This window comes from Homo sapiens, chromosome 1 (genome assembly GCF_000001405.40).
Source record: "Homo sapiens chromosome 1, GRCh38.p14 Primary Assembly".
NCBI classification, from domain to species: Eukaryota; Metazoa; Chordata; class Mammalia; order Primates; family Hominidae; genus Homo; species Homo sapiens.
Window position 1 is genome coordinate 105,428,797 of NC_000001.11, and position 10,133 is coordinate 105,438,929.

General features: G+C 36.8%; 1 pseudogene, besides 1 other annotated feature; it reads left to right on the forward strand.

The window, feature by feature from the left end:
• Nucleotides 5,198–6,025, forward strand: CDK4P1 (cyclin dependent kinase 4 pseudogene 1; annotated as a pseudogene).
• Nucleotides 9,738–9,900: a silencer, noted in NCBI's record as "fragment chr1:105981156-105981318 (GRCh37/hg19 assembly coordinates)". NCBI's record gives its function as "represses an EF-1alpha promoter that drives an FKBP-Casp9 reporter gene in an ReSE screen in K562 erythroleukemia cells {active_cell/tissue: K562}" and the evidence as "EXISTENCE:reporter gene assay evidence [ECO:0000049][PMID:32094911]".

Below are 10,133 nucleotides of genomic sequence, written 5' to 3' on the forward strand. Positions count from 1 at the left end.
TGAATAAACGAGAGCCTCAGAAAATTTCAAAATTCTTAATTCATTTGGAATATGTTCTTTGACCACAATGGAAATAATACAGGAAAAAGTAACTTAAAAAGCCTTATTCCTAAATCAACTAGAGTACTTCCATATAATTCACTGATGAAGGAAGAAACCAAAATTATAGAGGTGTTTGAAACTGAAAACTAATGACTGAACAGCACAGCAAAATTTGGTTAATGTGGCCAAATCAGTGCAGTCTTGAATTCATATACTAAAAAAGGTAAAAATATGTTATTTAATTTCAATCTTATTAAGTTTAAAAATAACTGTAAGAAACAAACAAGAAATGTAAAATAGAAAAAAATATTAAATATGAGAGCAAAGTCAATAGAATGAGAAAAACATCCTAAAATACAAAAAAAAAAACCCAACAGATTCAGCTTTGTGAAGAAATTAGTGGACCACCCTAGCAATAATTAGAAAAAAAAGGGAAAAAGCAAGCTGTCTACATTAGATAATGGAAAAGGAACATTGAAACAGAGTTAAAAATCTGTAAAGAATACTAAAAAGATGGCATAAATAAACTTACACAAATACTTGTGACAATATACTGGAATTCAAATTCAAGATTTGTCAATGTTTAAAAAATGAAAAATACACACTGATTAACTTTGATACTTGAGATACATTGGGGCATAGATTAAATACCATCAATAATAATTAATAGAATAATTCATTTTGGCCCTAGCTATATAATGTAGAAAAGAAATATGTGGATTAAAACATTTGAAGGATCACACACACACAGATAACAGTATAAAGTTAATATAGTTTAATGATCTAGGGACAGCCAAACCACACTGGGAACATTACAAACTCGTTTTTTGAAAAACTGGCTCATGAACTACAAAAAACCAAAAAGCCTGATAGTTAAAGAGGTAGATAAAGAGCAATGCAAGGCATGGGAATGGCATGTTTTGAAGTGTAAGAAAGTGCAAGTTATTAACGTGTATCTTGGTAAAATTGATGAATGTCCACCAGCTTATATATATTTCCTATGAATTAACTCATGCTTATGTCACTTCTCAGAACGCCTTTTCCTGAACAATGTCATAAATCCAAGAAACATGAATGAGTTCTCCAACTGAAAAGCATCACATATCACACTAGGTGATAAGGATGGAGGTAGAAGCAGGGTCCAAATCACTGAAGACCTAGCATACAAGAATTTTATTTAGGATAAGGTTCTGCTGACATAATCTAAACATGAGTCTAACATTATTATATTTGTAATTTAGAAGCAGCAATAAGGGATTCGTAAGAGTGACATTTTAGAAGAGGAAAATCCTGGAAGCAAAACCATTTGTGGGGCTCTTGCTTAATTTTATGAGCATAATGTTGAGAACTTGGTAAAGTTAAGAACACAGTGATGAAGATGAGTAGTTCCTCTGTTGCACTGACGTTTAGAAAATATAGAGGATAGACCCAATGATTATATATGTTAATAAGAGGATTTAAGAATAAAATATATTCTAGGTTTGTCCTTAGGAAACCACAACAACTATCACAGGATCTTAACATTTGCAAGATATTTTTCTACATGGGATAAGAGCATGGAAATACGTTTTTATATGTTCTTTGAAAAGAATTTCAGAATTCGTATTCAAATACTAATGAGGCTCTAAGTCTTCCTGAAGTAAAGCAATCAGCAAAAGATGTGCACTGCATATGACCACTCATTAATAAATATCTTTATCAAATATTCTTTCTAAATACTGCTAGAATTTGATGTTAACTCAGTAAAATGGAGATTCTATGATCCATAATTTACACCTAATTAGTGTTTAATCTTTTTTTCAGTCCTGTGATTTAATTATAAATGCTTAGTCCAGTGAAATAAATATTGTTTTTTTGTCATTATTGTTCAGTTAAAATCAACAAGCTTCTTGATAGATATAGATTACCAATACAAGCTTATTATTTTATAATTACTCTAAAGTTAGTGGAGCAAACAGAAGCCACTAGGTCTTGACTAAGTGCAATGACAAAAGGTTTCCTAAAACTTATTTTTGATAATCTGCCCACTGGAAATCAAGGTTTATTCAGGTAACATAAATGTGTTTTTCATTTCCCATGAGAAATATAAGCTTATTGAATAAAATGTTATAGTATTAATACATATACTTAATAAAATTTGAAGTATTTTAACTAAATTTGTCTCTGGTTATCCAAAGCCTTTTTGTGTTTGAGAGTACTTGTCAAAATTAAATATTTAAAATGCTAAATTCTTCCAATCTACTGCCATATCACCCTGAACTCACCCAATCTCATCTGATCTAGTGTTTAATTTATATTTATTATTTTAATTCAGATTAAAATGTCATGAGATTCAGAATATTGATGTGATCTATTAACATTTTTACATTATTTCTTCTCAACAATATAACGTGTATAAAATCATGTGAAATTGTCAAATATTAAATACATATATTTTACATATTTACCTACAAAAAGCATTCTCTTGTGGAGTTGAAAAATTAAAGATATTCAGATTAAAATTGGTATAACTGACTATTCAATTGACAGTTTAATTCAAATAATGGCAATCTTTAAAAGAAAATTGAATCAAGTGAAACATAGTATTTAAACCAGATATTGAATTTTTTCAATTAAGCTAGAATATAGTCATGTCAGAAATAATAGTAACAAATGGACAATAAGCAAAATATTTACTAACTGGATAACACACAACTAGGAGCATGTACACATATTTGTACACAGGAGCACACAACACGTACACATCAAATGCCACTTATGAACACTGATTCATACAGCTTTTTCCCAACTTTATAGCCTAAGCTTCTGTGAACCCAAACTGCTTGTTCATAAATTTGTTTTGATGTTTAAAGTAGCAGTTTAATTCAGTGTATTTATTGTAAACTGGGGATATTCTCCAAGCATCATAGACAATGCAGGATGGTTGGCCAATTTGATTCACTGGTAATTCTAGTGTTCATTATCTACCACTTTCCTCAGAGCAGGTGGCATCTTCAAACTACATAAAATAAACAATTGTAAAAGGAGTCGGGATATGTGGAATTGAGCACGTCTGGCTTATCAATTCATTTGGCATTCTCTCTTCATTTACCTATAAAAATAAATACGACATTTCTTAGTACAGAAAACACATCTGAAAAATGAATTCTTTAGTTTAGTTGCATGTCAGCTAACTAAAAAAAATAGAAAATTAATTGTTTAGATGGTAAATTTATTGAGCATACGAGATTAATAGAGCCTGAGAACAGTAGAGATCTCCCTGAGAGATTCACAGAAGCTACAGCCTAAATCACAATTTGGAGCCAGGTATTTGGTTTGTATGTATTAGATATGTGACATATTTTTATATATAAAAATTTGAATGCCAGTGTTGTAGTATTAATACTTCTGCCAAGTTTTGGTGATTAAATTAGAAAGCAGTTCTTTGGACAACTAAAACAATAAACTTAATTGACAATGCTTAATTAAAGCTTATTTTTTAATATCAAGAAGTCTATATGTAGGTGACTGCTTACAGTGTTTTAGTAAATCAACGATATCTCTGCAAATGACTTCAGTTTGTATTACTCGTGTTTGTAAAATGTTTGTTAAAATTTCGAGCCTCGTAAAATTTAAGTTGGGAGTGAAATGTATTTAGTTTTGCCACTATATCAATTTATTTGACTGGTACAGCAAAAGTTTTCCAAGATAACCCTCGTCTTTCTAGAAGACTTCCTTTTACATGTCATTGGTTAAAAATGATTGCAGATTTTATAGTTACTTTTAGCAGCAAGTAACAAAAAGAAAAAAACATCAGAATCTTAATTGGCATAGGTCAATCATGATGTGATCACTATTATGAGCCTGGTGTTGACCAAACATATCCACATTCCTTCAGCAAAAAAATTAGGAAAATGGGGCTAACACTTTTGTTCAGCAGTGATCTATTGCAGAATAAAATTCAATGCTAGGAAATATATATCCTGAACATCTATATAATAAACAGTATATTTTTAATAAGATACATTTGGGGATTGTTTTTAGTTGGGCATACAAAGGAAAAAAGTCTGAATAAAATGTAATAGGTTTCCACTATTTCTCATAATGTAAAAATCCATAGTCATTCTTCATTTTACACAATAAATAATAGAAAATTCACTTTTGGAAAATTTTACTGAAGACTAATCGAGTGAAATTTTGAATATGAGGACTTTGTGAGTGACTTTTTAAATCAACCACAGAGAAGTTACTTCTGTTGACTTTTTCATTGAAATTTTCTTCATGATTCTAGAAATAGATATCATTAGGAAAGGTTTAGGAGTAGCATGCCTTAGTTAATATCACTCTACTTTTTTATGAGATTTGCCACTATTTACTTAAATCTATGGACTGTATAGATAAATTAACACAGACAGGAATTAGAAATGAAAATAGCCTCTCTATTTCTAAATATATGACCATAGGGCATAATCTCAATTAAGAAACCAAGCTATAATGCTTAAACTAATATAATTCTTCAATCATATAAAACAAGTTGAATGAAATAATTGTGTGTCAATCTCTGGTATATATGTAGTAGAACATCACATAAAAGCTTCATTATTCATTAGGCACAGATGCATTAATACAGATACACCAAGACCATAGAACTAGCGATAATCACTTAGCAAACAGGTTAAGAAATAGTCAACCGAGGCTAACTCAGTTCTATGCATGCCAGTTTACAACAAGCATTCTTAGCTATGAACTGCCCTTAACTGATTTTCTGTTGGGTTTACTTTTCTTTTTTTCTTTACATCTTGGCACTTCAGGTCATCTTTCTCATCTAGAGTTATTGTGGTTCATTGAACCACTATGAAGAAGTATTTCCACCACCCAATGCCATTTTGATTCTCATTATAATGAATTTAATCTTCCAGATTGCTGTTAAGCTATTTTATTTGCAGGGCATATGGGGCTTTCATATTTTATTTCAAACCAGGAATTTTTCTTTCCTTTTTCTTCTATTCTAATTAATTTTTCTCTTTCTCTTACTCTATCTCCACTTACATTTTGTCTTTTTCCATTAAAAATAATTTAAGCTTGGGCATATGGTGCTGCAAGAACTGGCTCCAGGGCCCTTATGCTGGCTGCCCTCACAGCTCCCAGCCTGGTGACAGGATCTACCCTGAACTGAGAATGGCCATCTCTCAATATGAGCCAGTGGCTGAAATTGGTGTGAGTGCCCATGGGTCGGTGTACAAGGACTGTGATCCCCACAGTGGTCACTTTGTGGCCCTCAAGTTCCTAATGGAAACTCTCAAAAGAGTTCCACTCCCATAATACGATCACCTCTGCTCTCATTAGAGTTCCCATTAGAAATCACTCCCATAATACAATCACCTCCCACCAGGTCCCTCCTTCAACACATGGGGATTAAAATTTGACATGAGATTTGGGTGGGGACACAGAGCCAAATCATATCATCAGCTGAGGCCATCAAGGATCTGATGCACAAGTTTCGAAGAGGCCTAGATTTTCTTCATGCCCATTGCATTGTTCACTGATATCTGAGGCCAGAGAACATTCTAGTGACAAGTGGTGGGACAGTCAAGCTGGCTGAATTGGTCTGGCCAGCATCTATAGCTACCAGATGGCGTTGACACCTGTGGTTGTTACACTCTTGTACTGTGCTCACGAGGTTCTTCTGCAATCTACACAGGCAACATCTGTGGACATGTGAAGTGTGTCTTTGCAGAGATGTTTCCTCAAAAGCCTCTCTTCTGTGGAAGCTCTAAAGCCAACTAGTTGGGCAAAATCTTTAACCTGATTGGGCTGCCTCTATAGGATGACTGGCCCTAAGATGTGTCTCTACCCCATGTAACATTTCTCCACAGAGGGCCTCACCCAGTGCAGTCGGTGGTGCCTGAGAGGGAGCACAACTACTGCTGGAAATGTTATTTTGTCCTACATAAGCAAATCTATGCCTTCCCAGCTCTGCAGCACTTTTATTTAGATAAGACTCAGAGTGCGCAATGGAGTGGCTGCCACAGAAGGAATAGAAGCTGCCATTTCCCTTATTCTGCACACCTGAGTGGTGAGAACCCCACTGAAAAGGCAATCACTGCCATCATATCTGAGGCTCTGGAGACACCTCCTGAAACTTTTTACAGAGAATATTTTGCTGCCTTAATAGTGTTATCCTTCTACCCTTCCATTTGAGGCTTCTCCTTCTCCTGCCACCCTGTTACCTTAGACTAGAGGATATGTCCCCTCTTGTCCCCTTCTGTACCTTGATATTAGGGTCTTTTCTTATAAGGGAAAAATCAAACAAAACAAAGAAAAAATCAATTTAACCATTTTTATTTCTCCTGCTAATAGGTTTAAAGTGCTAGTAGTCCTTGCAAAAACTGCATTTTGATTCTGGTATAATTTGTGAATCCCTGGTGTTTGAATTTGCAAATTTTCAGTTTATAGTTCCTATGATTATGGTATTGCACTTTGCATATGCACATAGAAAGCAGAAGTCAACCCACAGAACTTGAGGATTAAATGAAAGTTTTTTTAATGATATTCATAAGTGATTGTGTTAAAATTATCTTCTAGGGGAAAAATGAATTATAACATTCATTTTCCGGTTATTTCTTGTACTCTCAAGCATGACAGTGTAAAATTGTTCAAATAGGATTGATTTTATATGTGATCCAGTTTAATTCCATTGGAGACATGTTGAATTTAAAATATTAGGTAGTAAAGACAGTAAAGTACTGAATTTATTTAGTTTGCTAATGCTGAAGCAGGGCTCTACTGGATAGATGTAGAGAAAAGATGAGATTCATCTACCCAAGCAGTACCAATAAAAAAGCTGCAGTGGTTCAATTATGAGAAAAAAAGGTGAATTTCTTTCTTAGTCTACATTCACATTAAATCAATTAAAAATACTTGAACATTTAAATAAATGTAATTTGATTATTGAGTTTAAGTGTGACTTTTCTGGGATATTTAATAGATGTTTCTTTTCTAATGCAAGTGATTAGACTCCCATCTCTTCATAAGCAGAACCACAAAAGCTTAGAGCTGAAAGACATATGTAAGGTCATCTAAAATGATTGTTTTTCAGAAGGAGTCATTAACATTTATAAGATTAATTGACTTTCACACAGTCTCATGCCTAAATGGTGGCAAAGCTGCAGCAATAACCTAGGTAATGTTATTTCTAGAATTTGAGATTGTATTTTCAAAGTTTTAAATTAAAATAATGTTTTTATTACAAAATAACTGTGAGATGACTTATTGTAAATTGCTTTAGATATCATAGGGCATGATAATAATTCATTTATTATCACTATAACTTACAACATTAATCTCATATCAAATGAAAAGTTTTCATGTAAGTATTAAAGAGAATATATTTGGTGTTTATTTGCAGAAAGATAATTATACCTGGAGAATACCAATTGGGCTAATTGTTACAAAGCTGAAATTGTGAGTTTAGTATAGTTACTTAACAAAAATCCTGCAAAAAGTAATAGGGCCTAACTTAAGCAGTGGGAAAAAAAAGAAGTATGTTGATAAGAATATTTTAAGAAATTAGAATTGTAGCATCTAGGAATGTTTAAATATTATGGATAAATAGAAAGTTATAGACGATTCTCAACAAGTGAATCAGAATGGAGAATGAAGGAGGATAATTTTTGAAGACACCAAAATGACGAGTTTAAACCTGTTGATTTTCAGGTACTTGTGGCATACCCCTTTAATCAGTTATTTATGATTTTTAATGTTTAGATAATACAGCAGACATATGATCTGGGTTTTATATATAAACTTTGATGTTATCATGATGGCAATAGCAGCCTATCTGGAGTGCCATGAGGCGGGCTGCAGTGGGAGAGGCATGGCTTGGGCTGTGCACTCCACAGAGAAGGCAGGAGCCAAGAACAGGTAGAAGCCCTGCCGTCTTTCAAGTTGTAAAGCCAGAAGCCACATCCTCTCGGGCACAGTGCAGCCACCAAGCCGCAGCTGCAGACCCTGGCATCTCTGCACTCTTGAGGGCCTGGGAACGCCTCTAACCCCCACAGGCTTGGAAGTGCCTCCTTCCACTGCCTGGCCTCTCCCTGTTCCCAGGGCCAGCTCCAATTTTAGAGCAAAGTTGTTACTGACCCAGAGTGCTGTCATGACCTGGCCAGGTGTGCACATGCTTGGGGCAGCACTGACACACCAGTCCCCTGCTGCCTCAGTCTCCTCTGGACTTTGGGCACCGGCAAGCATGGGAGGGAGGCCAAGGGGGCGCTAAGGGCAGCTCTGTGCAGGCCTGCAGGCACCTCTCAGCAGAAACAGCCTGGGTGCAGTGGGCACTGTGGATGGCAGGATAATGATGTCAGAAGGCAGACAGGCTCCTGGGTAGAAAGGGTCAGGTCTCCAGTGAAACTCCACCTTCAGGCCAGGAACAGCCTGAGGCCTTGGGGCTGGGCTGCCAGCTCCATGGACCAGAGTGAGAAAATATCGTGCTTTTTCTGGGTGTCCATGATCCAATCAGCATGCACTTCCTCCCCTGTGAAGCCCATAAAAGCCCAGACTCAGCCAGACTTGGGCAGAAAATGGGATGACCTGCCTGTGGATAGGAGCTACCCACTCCTTGGTCACTGGTCTCCTCTCTGCTGAGAGCTGGACACTTGTCAGAATGACCTGCATGCAGAAAGGAGCTACTCACTGCAGTTCTCCTCTGCCCGGTTCTGTTGTTGAATAAAGCACCTCTTCACCTTGTGGGTCTCCTCTGCCCTGTTCTGTCACTCAATAAAGCACCTAATTATTCCTGGACATGGGACAAGAGCTTGGAGCCTGCTGAATGACAGGGCTGAAAGAGCTGTAACACAAACAGGGCTGAAACAAGCCCCTTGCTCGCCATATTGTGGCAACAAGAAGGAGAGAAGAGAGAAAGATAGAAGAGCTATGGCCCTTCAGGGAGCCCCGACCTGGAAACTCTCTGAGCCAGGGCTGTAACACCCTCTCTGGGGCTCTGCAGTTCCTGGTACCTCCAAGTTTCCAGGTGCCACCACATTCCCTAGTGCCAGCTGTGGAAACCACTAGCAATACACCTAGTCCAGCTGAAGCCTCACAGGGAGCTGGCACCCATACTGGCACCTGGAGTTGCCCATGCCAGTGCCTTGAGCTGCCTGCTCTGCCACATCCAGTGTTCCTGACTGTGTGCAGTGGCCAGACCCCCCACTTGCTCACTTGCTCATACACCCCTCACTGCTGCTCACCTGGCTTACCCTTGGCAGGCATTGGATCCAGACTGGCAGCATGTGCAGAGCACAGCCTGCCAGGTCAAGTTGGCGAAATGAGCCCAGTGGGCCCAAGTAAAACTCAGGAAAAGGTGCCACAGAGGTTTCTGGCTGGAAAAGTGACACACCAAGGATCCTGTGACAATCACTGTTTCACAAGACTGAGTATATAGAGAGGCTTTGTTTGTGAAGAAAACACAAGGAATCCTAGGAATTATCAAATAGATGGAACCTGAGAAAACAGAAAGGAGACTGAGATTAAAAAGAAACAAAGATACAGAAGAAAATTCAGAGAGCCAAGATGGTACAAATGTTTTAAGTAGTAATGTGTTTCCCCATTATCAATAGGCAGGAAAGATGAAGAATAAGAGAAAATGAGTGACCTGGGGTGATGGCTCATGCCTGTAATCCCAGCATTTTGGGAGGCAGAGGCAGGTGGATCACATGAGGTCAGGAGTTCGAGATCAGCCTGGCCAACATGGTGAAACACCATCTCTATGAAAAATAAAAAAAACTAGCTGGGTGTGGTGGCATGTGCCTGTAGTTCCAGCTTCTCAGGAGGCTGAGGCATGAGAGTTGCTTGAATCCAGGAGGCGGAGGTTGCAGTGAGCCAAGATTGCACCACTGCACTCCAGCCTTGGCTACAGAGTGAGACTCCATCTCAAAAAAAAAAAAAAAGAAAAAAAAAGAAAATGAGTAATAGTTTCTTACTATCTCTAAAATTATATTAATAGGAGATGACAGTTTGGTGTTTTTTTTATTATTTTTTATATTTATTTAACATCACTGAAGATTTAGAGATTTTAATGTGAGTCTCTGATTCCTAATGTGATAGCAATTCCTCTG